This window comes from Homo sapiens, chromosome 1 (genome assembly GCF_000001405.40).
Source record: "Homo sapiens chromosome 1, GRCh38.p14 Primary Assembly".
NCBI lineage: Eukaryota > Metazoa > Chordata > Mammalia > Primates > Hominidae > Homo > Homo sapiens.
The window spans coordinates 240752132-240768311 of NC_000001.11; positions in this window are offsets into that span (position 1 = coordinate 240752132).

Genomic DNA, 16180 nt, shown 5'->3' on the forward strand with positions numbered 1-16180 from the left:
CCTTTGTTTATAAATTACCCAGTCTCAGGTAGTATCTTTATAGCAGTGTGAAAATGGACTAATGGACAAATACAGAGAACATGTAAATATTGCATTCCTTATCAAACTTTCCCTTTATGGATTCATTCAATTTGTATTAATTTATACTCAATGATTGCTATTGGTTTGTTTTGAGACGGAGTTTTGCTCTTTCGCCCAGGCTGGAGTGAAGTGGGGTGATCTTGGCTCACTGCAACCTCTGTCCCCTGGGTTCAAGCGATTCTCCTGCCTCAGCCTCCCGAGTAGCTGGGATTACAGGCTCCTGCCACCATGCTTGGCTAATTTTTGTGTTTTTAGTAGAGACAGGGTTTCTCCATGTAGGCCAGGCTGGTCTTGAACTCCTGACCTCAGATGATCCTCCAGCCTCGGCCTCCCAAAGTGCTAGGATTACAGGTGTGAGCCACCAGACTCAGCCTCAATGATTGCTATTTCATTCACTAGGTTTTTATTTGTTCATTAGGGAATCTGTTATTACTATTAATTTTGATGCTCAAACTGGCCAGTGAGACTGCCTTTAAGCTCAGTTCTGTGTCCTTTTTACATGACCCCAAAATTCTGTGTTATGTCCTTACTTTCTGGTACAGTCAGATGTTTCAGCTTCATCTTTCCTGCCCCAGTCCTGGAACTGACCATTTTCTATAGGTAGCCCTGGATCCTTTTGGTGAGTAGTGCCGTTTAGAATCCATGACTTTGGTCCTTGTTTTTTTCATTACTACTGGGATGTGGCTTTCTCAGTGGACATAGTGAGAGAATTTGATTAAGTGTGTGTATTTACACATTACATCTATATTTCTAATCCATCTCTATATATTAAAAATATACAAGTTCATACTGATATCTCCAATTCTAATGAAATGTTCCAGGATTCTTTCTAGTTTTCTCCTTCTCTGTTCTTTCCCCTTCCTCCGTCCCTCCCTCCCTCTCTCTCTGTCTCTATCAGTCTCTCTCTTTCTTCCTTCCCTTCCCCTTCCTTTCTTCTTTCCCTCCCTGCCTCCCTCCCTCCATCCCTCCTTCCCTCCCTCCCTTCTGTCTCTCTCTCTCTCTCTCTCTTTCTTTCTATGACGGAGTCTTGCTCTGTCATCCAGGCTGGAGTGCAGTGGTGCAATGTTGGCTCACTGCAACCTCCGCTTCTCTGGTTCAAATGATTCTAGTAGCTCAGCCTCCCAAGTGGTAGGAATTACAGGTACACACTACCACGACCAGCTAATTTTTGTATTTTTAGTAGAGACAGGGTTTCGCCATGTTGGCCAGGCTGGTCTCGAACTCATGTGATCCGCCCCTCTCAACCTCCTAAAGAGTTGGGATTAGAGTGTGAGCCACCGCACCTGGCCCCTCTCCATATTTCTAAACTCCTTCTCCAACAGGGAGAAGGCTGGCTGCCATTACCCTTAATATATTTACTGACTGAATCCTGCACGGTACTCTTTTCACTGCCTTTGCCCTTTCCTTTCTTTTCTCCTCCCTCCTTTAACCTGTGTTGATGTCTTTCTCACCTCTTTTGGGCTACGCCACCCTGCTTACCCCTCTCCCTCGGCATGAATGTCCTCCTCACCTGCCTTGAGCTGGGTCATTTCCTACGTGGAAGCTCTCTTCTCCCGTCTTGGGCTGTGATATCTCATGCCAGCCCTCTCACTGAGTAGATACTATCTTTAACCTGCTCAGGCCTCTAGACCCCCTGATGGGCCTTCCTCCTAAACAGACACCCCCTGCCCCCGCTACCAGTTTTCTTTTTTTTTAATTAATTAATTTTTTTTTTAATTTGAGACGGTGTCTCATTCTGCTGCCAGGCTGGAGTGCAGTGGCACGATCTCGGCTTACTGCAACCTCTGCCCCCGGGGTCCAAGCAATTCTCCTGCCTCAGCCTCCCAAGTAGCTGGGACTACAGGCGCCCGCCACCACGCCCAACTAATTTTTGTATTTTTAGTAGAGACGGGGTGTCACAATGTTGGCTGGTATGGTCTCGATCTCTTGACCTCATGATCTGCCCGCCTTGGCCTCCCAAAGTGCTGGGATTACAGGCGTGAGTCACCGTGCCCGGCCCCCACCACCAACCTCCTCTGGCTCTGACACCCTGTGCCCCCTCCTCTGGGATGTCCCCTGGATGGAGGCCCTCTTCCCTCTGCTCAGTCTCCAGAAACCTGTACCTCAGGCTCTGGCAATGTCCTCCTCAGTCTGCTTGGTTTCTGATGCCCTAGCTGTCTCTGGGTTATTGCAGAAGGTGAGCCTCCTTGTGGACCCTCTTCTTGCCCTGCTCAGCCTTCGATAGGCCATATCAGGCTGCCTCCCTATGGGGACACCTCCTCACCCTTCGTGGTCTCTGACACCTCATGCAGCCTCTGTGGCTCTCCCCGCAACACCTGCCTTGTTCAGCCCCAGCTACCGGCTTGTGGTTTGAATTATTCAAGAAGGAAAGAAAAAGAAAAAGGAAGAAGAAAATAACATAGAAAAGAAAGAGCCGTTCTTTAATTTTAATTATTTTCTACATTTTTCCTTTTTATGGCTTATGTCAAGATTTCTATTTTATTTGGCCTTTGTAAGAGTAACAGATTTGGTTTGTTGATTAGATCTGTTTTCCCTGCAAGTTAATTCATTTCTTCTTTGATCTTTATTTTCCCTTGTTCTTGCATTCTTTGCATTTACTTTGTTATCCTCTATTTAGATTTCAATTGAACACTTTTTTGTTTGTAATGAATGAATTTAAGTTTATAAATTTTCCTTTATGTACCACTTTAGCGTAATTCCATAAGTTTAATGGATAAGACTTTTGTTGACATTTGGTATCAAATATTATCATTTTGATTTCCTTTTTAGCCCATAAGTAGTACAACAGTTTCCTTTTTACATTCCTTTTATAATGGAGAAATGTTACTTATGTATCATTTTATTGTTGATTTCTACTTTTATTGTATTTTGGCAAACAGTGTAATCCATAGGATACTAGTTTTCATAATTTATTAAGCCTAGTTTTTCATATAGTATTTGACCACTATTTTAAAACATATTTTAACTGGGCGTGGTGGCTCACGCCTGTAATCCTAGCACTTTGTGAGGCTGAGGCAGGCAGATCACTTGAGGCCAGGAGTTCAAGACCAGCCTGGCCAACATGGTGAAACCCCATCTCTACTAAAAATACAAAAATAGCCGGGCGTGGCATGTAATCCCAGCTACTCAAGAGGCTGAGGCAGGAGAATCGCTTGAACCTGACAGATGGAGGTTGCAGTGAGCCGAGACTGTGTCATTGCACTCCAGCCTGGGCAACAGAGCAAGATTCCATCTCAAAAAACAAACAAGAAAACTCCCATATTTTGCAAGTGTTTGAAAACAGAGTTTATTCTCTCTCTATTGGGTATATTTGTCTATGTGGTCACAAACGTGTGTGTAACATAAACGTGTGAATAACGTGATGAACATGTCTTGTTCATCATGTTATTCACATATTCTATAGCTTTAACAAGTTTTGTATTAGTTTTGGAAAGTTTTAGTTAATACAAGTTTTGTATTAATATATTAGTTTCCCACTGTAATTATGTCAAATTTGAAAACTTTATATTTTGAGGCTATATTACTAGATTTATAATTGTTTTAGATTCTTGATGGTTTTTTTTGTCATTTTATCCATATGAATGACCCATTTGAGTTCAATTAATTCTTTTCTTTTTAGAAAAATCCTTTATTAAAACATGAAAATAATCTGAATAAATTCAAGCTATTGGTTTTAGTCTCTATTGCTTCATTATTAACAAATGCATATATAAAATACCTAGTAACCACAACACTGGACATTTTGAATCATGCATTAGAATGTTTGTACTCTAAAATCAGAGTTAAGGGCCTGCCACTATTGCTTGCACTTTCAATCAGACCCAGTTTGAATTTAATAAGCATGTAAAATAAACTCCTTGATTCAGAGGAATTCTGGGAAATAACAAGGATCCATGCAAGTTTCAACTCAAAAGTTGGGTTAATAATTGCTTAGAAATGCAGGCAGAAACTCCACATCTATCACAATGCTGCTTCAGAACAGGGATAAGAGTCATACACAAAAATGTTAAAATTAGGACCATTAATCAGTTTTAAAAGGCTTATATGCAAATCCTGGTCCATCTGATTAGAGAATGATGTACAAACTCTGGGAAAAGAAAGAGAATTGAGGGATGTACAGTCTTAAGGAGCTGTTAATTTTCTTGGTGATTTACTGACAACTATAACAGGAGAGCATAGGTGGTTTAGGGGGATGGTTAAGATGCTCTTAGGCAGAATGGTTTCTTTTCTGATTCATGCTAATAAGCATTACCTGCATAGCTCCCTAGGGAAAAAATGATAAAGAGCAGGGCTAATACAATGTAAACTCAAGCTATCAATAACCTCAAATTTAGCACAGCCCTCTGCTTTTTAAAACTGTTCACCAAGGGATCCTTCCAAATAGGATATAATTAATAGCCAACAATGTTCATTAATAAACTAGAAGAAATCTGCTTGAACCAACAGCACCGTGAGAATGTAAGCTCCTGGAGGCCAAGAATCTCTTCATATTTTTGCATATCACAGACACATGAAGAGTCAACATGAGACCACAGTAACTTTGAAAAGTAATTAACTGTATACTTTCAAGACTATGAAAAACTCATAGTATATTTTAGCATTTAGACGTATTAACATGGCTGTTAAGGGTAATCTTTAATTGTTCCAAGTAACTGAACTGCTGACATCATTGTAATATGTAGTGCTGTCCCCAGATAGCGCAGATGTCTGAATATTGCTTGGTTATTCCAATGTCTCTAAGACCAACTGACAGCATAGGACATTTCGAGAGGAGCTATAATCAACTTAACACAGCCTTTTCCCTGTGTGTCAGTTGTCATGTAAGAATTAAATATTCAAGAGGCACTATTTCTTAGATCTACATCACTTATCTTTTTGTTTTTTCCCTGGGAAAACAAGGAAATGTAGATCCAGTCTTTTCAGGGATAGTCAAGGTGCTAACAGGCCAAGATAGACATCAGGTGAAAGGGAGTGAAGTCACCCTAGTTCCACTATTATATTCTGATGTGAGCTGTGTGATTCCTCAGATCAAGAAAGAAACTAGTTTGCTGGGTTCTCCTTGATAAAGAATAAGCGGTCACAGGGCATAGACACGTCTATGTTAAACAAGGTTTCACACCCCGCCCACCCAAACATATTCACTGGCTATTCCTTTCAATCCTTCTGCTTTGCATCTTTAAATCTTAACTCCCTAATCATAAGCATGAGAGAAATCCGGCTTATCCATGTTCTTGGGAGTTTTTTTAAAACATTAAACTCACAAACTTCTCTCCCTTTAAAAAAAAAATGTACCCAGGAAACCAATGGAGAAAGATGAGGAGACAAAGCAGAAAGTACAGCGTTCTACAAAATAAATGCCTGTTGCTGAAACATTGTAAGCAAAAAACCCACAGAGCAGCTTCAGTGGGGCCTTGGTACATTTGTTCCCAGGTTAAGCACTATAAAGGTTTAATTTCAACAGCTCTAACCCTCTGATTTAGGAAACAAACAGGACCTTTAACCTTTAACTTACATAAAAGTTGATTATTTCTCACACAAAGATAAATTCATATACATTCATACTGTTCTAAAAGAAAGTACCTTTCATACGCTCTTTAACCAGAACATTTTTTCCTTTTGTGCAGCTTTTTTTTTGAGGCTGGAGTACAGTGGTGTGATCCGGATCACTGCAACTCCGCCTCCCAGGTCCAAGCGATTCTCCTGCCTCAGCCTCCCGAGTAGCTGGGACTACAGGCATGTGCCATCACACCCAGCCAACCCTTGTACCTTTAGTAGAGACGGCGCTTCACCATGCCGGCCAGGATGGTCTTGATCTCTTGACCTTGTGATCTGCCCACCTCGGCCTCCCAAAGTGCTGGGATTACAGGCATGAGCCATCACACCTGGCCTTTGTGCAAGTCTTGATTGCAGAGCCCTACAAACTCAAGTAGTATCACTTATTCTATTGTACAACCTTGCTAATGCAGATTACTATACATGCACAAACTTATTGCTACTAAAATTCTACCTCTTGAAAATTACTATTCATTTTATGGCTTTTTTTTTTTTTTTGCAACAGGAAATATCCTTTCCTATATACTGTGCTATTCTGTATTCATTAGCTTTTCAGTTTTTTTTTTTTAATTTTTTTAATTTAAATGCTTTTCAGTAATGGATTCTCCCAGGAACTAAACTACATAAGCCAAGAGTATAACTACACCAAATACACTACGAGAATCTAAACTTGAGTCTCTGGAGACCTGCTGCCAGAGTCTACTTGTTCTAACCTGTGTATGCACAAGATACATCACATTATAATAGTTTTGCATGTGCTATCATGCATCAGTTATGTAGAATCTGTGTCAGCAAATGCTGGACTCTATCTAATACTGAAATTTAAAAATCACCTCAGAAAACTGCCACTTCTGAGTTCTCAAGGCAGCTTTTAGAGGTAGGAATTCCTTCTCTACAGAAAGCTATCTTATTCTTTCAGAGCAAAACAACTGTTTCATTTCCACAAGTAAAGTAGATAAAAGTGAAAGCTGTCCGAGGCTTACTATACCCAAGAGAAAGAGTCTACTTATTATGTAGCAACCTAGGTAGGTGCCACCCAGCTACATTTCCAGTTCTCATGAAAAGGTCTGAAAATCCCATCAATAGACAATTCGGCGCATTTGGAAACAGGAAGAGCCCTAACAAATAATCGAATACTCCAAATTACTGAGTGTTTGCACACAGCATGCTGCAAACAGGAAATGTAAATGGTTTGCAGATTAGAAAAGCACTCACTGAAGCAATTAACAGCATCTCCATAAGACATGCAAAATGTAATTTCTTGACATACAAGGAGTAGGAAAAGAATGAACCTAGAAGACGTGTCATGTTAAGACATGAAAAGAGCAGGCCGGGTGGATTACTTGAGGTCAGGAGTTTGAGACCAGCCTGACCAACACGGTGAAACCCCATCTCCAATAAAAATACAAAAATTAGCTGGGCATGGTGGCGCATGCCTGCAGTCCCACCTACTCGGGAGGCCGAGGGACGAGAATCGCCTGAACCCAAGAGGCAGAGGTTGCAGTAAGCCGAGACTGTGCCACTGCACTCCAGCCTGGGTGAGAGAGTGAGACTCCATCTCCCCACCCCCGAAAAAAGAGCAAAGCAGAATAATTAAATGGGGTCTCATTTTGACTTGAGGTTTCATAAGACACAAAGACAGCTGGTTTCCAGACACCTTATGGAAAGCTGAAATGTCCTCAAACATAGTATCTCAGATTTTGACCCCATATTTCTATTCATAAATGAGTCTTTTGGGCCTTAACCTCTTTTCCCCAGGGAGAATATAACATATTTAGACATTATGGAAAAAGAAAAGTTTTAGATTTTCCACTCTTTTTACACTGTTATTATCAATAATTCATCCTGAAGTTTAAAATCACTAGGCTCATGCACTAACCCCTAACATGGCACTACAATATGCTACCAAGCACTAATGCTTACAAAACTATACATATCTTAAAGTGGAAGACATTGGTGATTTTGTTGTTCTTAAACAACTTTTAACATTTGTCCACAAGTATTAAAATACACATATATATATACATTTCTATTGCACATATCCTGTTTTTGTTTAACTTTTCAAAAGAAAAACTGCCAGCTAACATGGATGAGCAAGGGAAGGGAAGGAAGCATGGCTACAAATCGACGTACAGTCCTGCCTAAAATTATAGCTTTTCCTATCAAAGGGACCAAAATAGACAAGAAAAAAATGTAGATGTATTAAGTAAACACTGGGCAACTACAGCTGCAATATATCCATTTTGTTAAAGGCATCTGATCTGAACCATGGAAGATACAGAAACAATTTCAAGAGCATTAAACACTGGTTCTCTCAACTGTGGAATGAAAAAAATATAAAGTATATACACTGAGTCTGATAGCTATTTAAACAAGTGGGCCAGAGCCGGTTTCAATGGTGCCAAAAGTACAGGTACTCTACCACCCGTCAAATGATCCTACCAAAAAAGATGCCAGAAGTACACACAGAAGATGGGTTAACAGACACCTGGAAGGTACAAATTCTCCATGATATGACATTTTCAACATACTAGTGGAACCCATATATGTAGGCTCCATTCTGTCTTGAACAATTCCAAAATATTAAAGAAAAACATCAGGAAGTAGGTAGATTACTTAGAGAAAAATTTGAGTTACTTTTAAGCAAAGATTTTTACTGTGCTTTTATCACTCACTCAGTAGTTGCCCTCAAAAAAAGAAATATTTTATATATAATATGTAATTATTTTACTAAAAGTATTTTTTACCCATTTCAAATGGGTTGATTGACCAATCTCACTAATAGTAAGAGTGCTCAACATTTCCAATTTTGGGCCATTTTTATCACTCTCAAATTTTGGTGAATCTTCGCTATTCCTAGCATCATAGCATTGATGGACCTGAGTAAACATTCCGGAAAACACAGAGATGTTCCAAAACTCTCTGTTCTTAATTTCATCTAGTTTCAAAATTTATTCTCTACTCACAAAGAAGCATAAAGGTTTCACTCTTACATAAAGACCTGACAGTACACACAATGGTCCTCTGCTGATTTGGAAGCAAGGACAGTTTTCTACGACAGTCTGTTCTTTATAACTGTTGTGGGAAAAAAAATCAATTTCTTATTGTAATTATTTTTCTTGTTTGAAGTTTCTTTTCCACGATGACCCAACCGCAAGTTTGGGAACATTGCTTCTGAGGCCCATGCTCTGATGAGAAAGTCCAGTCCCAACTGGGGACAGTACCTGAGTCCCAGCCTTTTCAGCCTAACATTATACCTAATATCTAGAGTAAGAAATCAGGCTGGGCGTGGTGGTGCGTGCCTGTAATCCCAGCTACTTGGGAGGCTGAGGCAGGAGAATCGCTTGAACCCGGGTGGGAGAGACTGCAGTGAGCAGAGACCACACCAGTCACTGCAGCCTGGGCAACAGAGCGAGACTCTGCCTCAAAAAATAAATAAATAAAATAAAAAAAAATCAAACATCCAAGTATCCACCTTGGGTTGCAGGAAGAGTTAATCTTATGCGTTTACAAAAAAATGTAACTGTATAGTATGAAACACCATAAAGTCAGATGGCACTGCATGAGGCATTTTTGCTTCTTTTTTTTAAGGAAAAGAAGTTATATGGAAAATTCTCTCATCCTCCCCTCTCTGCCCCCGACTCCTCTATGTCCAAAGTTTTTTTTTTTATTTATTTTTCTGAGACGGAGTCTCACTCTGTCGCCCAGGCTGGAGTGCAGCGGTGCAATCTGGGTTCACTGCAACCTCCGCCTCCCGGGTTCAAGCGATTCTCCCGCCTCAGCCTCCTGAGTAGCTGGGATTACAGGCATGCACCACCACCTCCGGCTAATTTTCTATTTTTAGTAGAGATGGGGTTTCTCCATGTTGGTCAGGCTGGTCTCGAACTCCCAGCCTCAGGTGATTCGCCTGCCTCGGCCTCCCAAACTGTTGGGATTACAGGTGTGAGCCACTGCACCCGGCCTAGGTTTTTGTTTAAAATTGGGTCTTTGTTCTTATTCAGTAAATCTATGTCACAGGATGAACCAGGATTTAAATATACAAATATAAATTTTTAGTATCTTTCACGTTAAATTAGAAACACATATTTGGAATTTACTGCTGCAGCCTCAGCTGTGCTTATCATGGTAGTGGCTGAAAGTGGAAGACTTTTTTTTAAACCCTGAAGTCATCCATACTTGCTACTTCTTTAGTCTTCTTGCTTGGAATGAAAAGTATTCACAAATACCACCACCTAAGCACCTGTTTCAAATGAAACTCAGCCCTCAGCTTGAAAAATGATGTCTTTATAATTAAGCAAACAGCAGAAGACCCATGCGAGTTGCTTCTTTCTCCCTGGAGATGTTGGCAGGATAACTGGAATCCTAGGAGCTCCTCTGTGTTCAACTTCAGAGGCAGAACAAAAAGGAAAGTGGCCTTTTCCATTCCAAATCACGGAGGTAATGTGTAGAGAAGTGATAGCCACATTTCAAGCATAGGGAAAGTAACTTGGTAAAAGAAGCAGGACTACCCACTCTAGGAGACAACATAGAGACACTTGCCAATGAGAGGTGACAGCGTGCTGGCAGTCCGCACAGCCCTCGCTCGCTCTCGGCGCCTCCTCTGCCTGGGCTCCCACTTTGGCGGCACTTGAGGGGCCCTTCAGCCCACCGCTGCTCTGTGGGAGCCCCTTTCTGGGCTGGCCAAGGCCGGAGCCGGCTCCCTCAGCTTACAGGGAGGTGTGGAGGGAGAGGCGCGAGCGGGAACCGGGGCTGCGCGCGGCGCTTGCGGGCCAGCTGGAGTTCCGGGTGGGCGTGGGCTTGGCGGCCCCGCACTCAGAGCAGCTGGCCGGCCCTGTCGGCCCCAGGCAATGAGGGCTTAGCACCCGGGCCGGCGGCTGCGGAGGATGTACTGGGTCCCCCAGCAGTGCCGGCCCACCGGCGCTGTGCTCTATTTCTCGCCGGGCCTTAGCTGCCTTCCCGCGGGGCAGGGCTCGGGACCTGCAGCCCGCCATGCCTCAGCCTTCCCCGACCTCCGTGGGCTCCTGTGCAGCCCAAGCCTCCCCGAGGAGCGCCGCCCCCTGCTCCACGGCGCCCAGTCCCATCACCACCCAAGGGCTGAGGAGTGCGGACGCACGCCGCGGGACTGGCAGGCAGCTCCACCTGCAGCCCCGGTGCGGGATCCACTGGGTGAAGCCAGCTGGGCTCCTGAGTCTGGTGAGGATGTGGGGAACCTTTGTGTCTAGCTCAAGGTTTGTAAATACACCAGTCAGCACCCTGTGGCTAGCTCAGTGTGAATGCACCAATCGACGCTCTGTATCTAGCTACTCCGGTGGGGCCTTGGAGAACCTTTACGTCTAGCTCAGGGATTGTAAATACACCAATGGGCACTCCGTATCTAGCTCAAGGTTTGTAAACACACCAATCAGCACCCTGTGTTTAGCTCAGGGTTTGTGAGTGCACCAATCGACAGTGTATCTAGCTACTCTGGTGGGGCCTTGGAGAACCTTTGTGTCTAGCTCAGGGGTTGTAAACGCACCAATCAGTGCCCTGTCAAAACAGTCCACTGGGCTCTACCAATCAGCAGGATGTGGGTGGGGCCAGATAGGAGAACAAAAGCAGGCTGCCCGAGCTAGCAGTGGCAACATGCTCAGGTCTCTTACCACGCTGTGGAAGCTTTGTTCTTTCGCTCTTTGCAATGAATCCTGCTGCTGCTCACTCTTTGGGTCCACACTGCCTTTATGAGCTGTAACACTCACTGTGAAGGTCCGCAGCTTCCCTCCTGAGCCAGCGAGACCAGGAACCCACCAGAAGGAAGAAACTCAGAACACATCCCAACATCAGAAGGAACAAACTCCAGACGCGCCACCTTAAGAGCTGTAACACTCACCGCGAGGGTCTGCGGCTTCATTCTTCAAGTCAGTGAGACCAAGAACCCACCAATTCCGGACACACCAAGTCCTGAGTTCAGAATTTTGTTTTTGAGATGAACATAAAAGCACCTAAAGGTCAAGGAAGATGTTCTTCCTGTGATAAGGAACACAAAGCCTGTTTGGTGGTCTCTTCACACGGAAGCGCATGACACTTCGCTTTAGTGTAGATGACCACTCCCCTCTGTAAGGTAGGGAGGAAGAATGTTCGGTTAGTTCCTTTCCTCCGGCCGATCTCTTTTTTTTCTTCTGGCACGGTCCAACAGACACTCCTGGCACTTGGCTTCCCGGGGGCTGCTCGCCCCCGGCCCAGAGGCCGGTTTCCAGCGGCAGGCCTTATTCCACCATCTTTGCAGCTTCCAATTCTTTTCATGTTAAGTTGTTTTTTGGAGAGATATATAAATTTATTTTGGTCAGTATTTGTCTTATATCTCTTTTTCCAAATTCTTTATGTTCCAATTTTTGGGGTAGTATTGTTTTAAGTGTCTCTTACATACTATATCTAGATATATCTTTACTCTGAGAATTTTTTAAGAGGCAGTTTAAAACCGTTACCTGTACTACAACTGCAAATATACTTGAATTTATTTCTTTTATATTATTTTGTGTTTGCAATTTAATATTATCTTTGTTTCTCTTCTTATATCCAATTGTGTAGGTGAAGTTTTCTTTGTTTCATTTCCCTCTGTTTGTTTAAAAAGTTGTATTTTCTGGCCTGGTGCGGTGGCTCACCTGTGTAATCTCAGCACTTTGGGACGCCGAGGCAGGCAGATCACCCGAGGTCAGGAGTTTGAGATCAGCCTGGCCAATGTGGTGAAACACTGTCTTTACTAAAAATATAAGAATTAGCTGGGCATGGTGGCGAACACCTCTAATCCCAGCTACCCCTTTAGGCTGAGGCATGAGAATCACTTGAACCCAGGAGGAAGAGATTGCAGTGAGGCGATGCCACTGCCCTCCAGCCTGGGAGACAGAAGACTGTGTCTCAAAAATTTTCCATTTCTATATTTATAATATATAATAACATATAATAATTATAATATATATAGTATATACATAATATAAATATAATATATAATATGATATAATATATAATCTATATTATAATTTTCCATTTCTATATTTATATCCTATGTTCTATAATTACAGTTAATGAAAATTTAAGATTTTTTTCTAGTTAAACATAAAGCTATTCTGTACCTCAATCTTCCTCACAAATATGACAAAATAGTTGAAATACTTTTTCTTTTCACTCTCATCTTACCTTCTAACTTCCAAGTTTATTTTCCAGCTCATAACTGATGATACTCAATTTTGTAATAATTTTTAATAACGATACACATTTAGATTCACTAATATTTGTTTACTAATTTCTTTGCTTACCATTAATTCTTTACACACACACACACACACACACACACTCTTTATTTATTTTGACACAGGGTCTCGTTCTTTTGCCCACGCTGGAGTGCAGTGGCGTGATCTCAGCTCACTGCAGCGTTCACCTCACGGGCTCCGGCGATTCTCCCACCTCAGCCATCCCAGTGGCTGAGACTAGAGGTGTGCATCACCATGCCTGGCTAATTTTTGTATTTTTGGTAGAGATGGGGTTTCATCTTGTTGGCCAGGCTGGTCTCAAACTCCTGGGCTCAAAGAGATCCACCTGCCTCTGCCTGCCAAAGTGCTGGGATTACAGGTGTGAGCCCCCATGCCCAGCTACCACATATTAATTCATTCTTTAGACTTCTTTTTTTTTCTCTTGATAGAGTCCATTCTAAGTTGTTCTGTCAGTGAAACTCTGTTTAAAACATGGCTTGTATGAAGTTGTCAGGAATCGGCTCTGACACTTGGATGATTCTTCAGCTGGCTATAAAATTCTAAAATCAGAGTAACCGTGTATTGACTTCCAACATTCCACATTTCCAAAGGTACATGTAATCTCAATCAGATTTATGTTTTTTGTGTGTGTTCTCTAATAACTTTTGGGATCTTTTCTCTATTCTCTACCATTAATTTCGGAAGTTTCACTCTGCGTAGGTGTGAACCTAAAATATTTTTCCTGCATCTTGTTTTATATTTCCATTCCTAAACACTTTAAGAATTTTAAAGATACTTATCTTGGGATACTTTTCAGGTTGACTTCATCTATTTCCTTTGGTGTAAACTCTTCCATTCGCTGTTATTCATAATGTTTATCTTCTGAAACATTTTTAGGATTTTTGTTTTGTGAGCTCACATTCTGTACATTCCTCCTGTTGTTCTCTTTCATGGAAAGCCGCAGCCTGTTTCCCAGGTCCACGCCAGGCTGCATTTGCTCAGAAATGCTCCTGCATAGTGTTCATATATTTATCCTCAGAAATGCTCCTGCATAGTGATATATTTATGCTCAGAATATGCCCTGCATAGTGATATATTTCCTCCCCGTGTCTGCTAATGGCATGACCTCACTCACCTTCATGTACAGGGGATCATACCAGAAACCATGGCCACTGCAAACCATGGTCACTGTAGTTCCTTAGTGGCCTTGGGAATGGTGCAAGGGTGTCCAGTTAGTCTCTGTTTATGGGAGTTCTGTGTTTCCCACCCTGAGCTCCAGGAAGATAGTGTTTATTGGGACTGCATTCAAAGAGATCTAAGAGATCCTGCCTCCGGCTTCTGAACTTTCTGCTTGAGATCCATGCCCTGTTCTCCCAGGAGAAGTGATTTTAGTCTTTGACAATTACCAAATACCCCCTTTGGTTATGTTCTTGTTAGAAAATAGTCACTTTTCTTCTTTTCCTAAGGAACTATGTGTTTGCTAGTCTTGAAATTTTAGAAATCATTCCCATTTGGAGAGAGTGGAGGGTTTAGAATATGTTTCATCTGGCTTTATAATTATATATTTTTGTTTTATTATTATTATTATTATTTTATAGAGATGAGGTCTCTCTATGTTGCCCAGGCTGGTCTCGAAACTCCTGAGTTCAAGTGATCTTCCCACTTTGGCCTCCCTAAGTGTTAGGATTACAGGTGTGAGCCACCACACCTGGCCTGCCTTTATAAATATTATTGTAAAATGTCTTTAGCCTAGATGAAGCTGAAATTCTTTCCAGTGAATCTTCTGCTGTGGCTATTAAAGTTTACTATGAAAAAGAAGCAGAAAGACATGCTCCTGTGCCTGAACACTGAAGAGGATTGCAAAGGCCAAAGGCAGGAAGAAGTTCAGGGGATAGGATGGAGAATGAGCATAGCAAGTTGCTCCTGAACTTAGTCCTGTAATAAGTCTGCAGGGCAGAAGGTTCCAGGGCACATAAACTAGGATAGGAACTGCTATCCTAGTTTATATGGAGTGGAGTGATATAGTTTGTGTGGAATGATATGGTAACTAGGTATATGAATACATTCCTCATAGCAACATCATTCCACACAGGCAATTCAGACTCTGGCCTGAAGGCAACAATTCTGAGTTTATTCTTTATTTCCTGAATTCAGTCTCCCTCAACCTGTGAATTGCAACCTCACCTACCAAATGTCTGCTACCACTTGAGTGGGACCATCACCAGCCTGGATTTGAGAGCTCACCTGGCAATTTCTCCAGCCATTATATCATGGAATCAATAGGTTACAGGGTCTCCAAGACCTCCTATGCCAAATCATTCAGTCTTTCTGTGGGGTTATGAGTACCCCTTCCCTGTGTAGTCCAGGAGACTGCTGGAAACTTGGTGTGTGTGTGGGTGCAGAGGGTGGCGAGAGAAGTTCCTATACTTGTAGGACAAAAATACTTTTGGAGCCAGACAAAAATAGCTTTGGACACCCTGGACTGGGAAAGATGGGATGATTCCATCCCTGCTACATTATCACTCTCTGTCATCTACTCTCTTCTTCACCTCCAGCTCATAATGGCTAGGTTCCCATAGGATTTTCCATTCTACACATGTCTTAGTCTGTTTTGTGTTGCTGTAACTGAATGCACGAGACTGGGTTATTTACAAAGAAAAGACATTTATTTCTCACAGTTTTGGAGGTTAGGAAGTCCAAGGTTGAGGGGTTGCATCTGATGGGGGCCTTCTTGCCGGTGGGGACTCTCTGCAGGGTCCTAAGGCAGCTCAGGGTGTCACATGGCAAGAGGACAAGAAAATGCCAAACTGGCTTTTATAACAGACACACTCCTGTGATAACCCATTAGTCTACTAATCCGTGAATGGGTTATTCCTTTCAAGACAGAAGAGCAAATATAACCCAGCCACCTCTGAAATACCCCATCTTCAACATGAGTCTTGGAGGACGCAGACATTCACACCATAGCATGAGGCTGTAGATGTCTTCAAAACAACCTCTGCCTTTGTCTTCTAGAAGTGGAGTTTCCAGACTCTACTTGTTCAAGGATGCTGTGTCCTTGACTTAGCTCATTATCACCTTTTGGTCACCTTTTTCATCCTGGTGCTTTATGGACTCTAATTGATCGGTTTCCAACCCACCACCATATCTGACTGTGCTCTAGGTGTTTCCTGTGATCTCTGGGATCCTGATCCGCACCACTCAACTTTGGCCTCCTAAACTTCATCCTTGACCCCACCCCAGGTAGGAAGGATGTGTGGATATTTCTTTTATCTTTCTGCAACGATGACCTTTTGGAGAAAAAGAAAGGAAGCAGGTAAGAT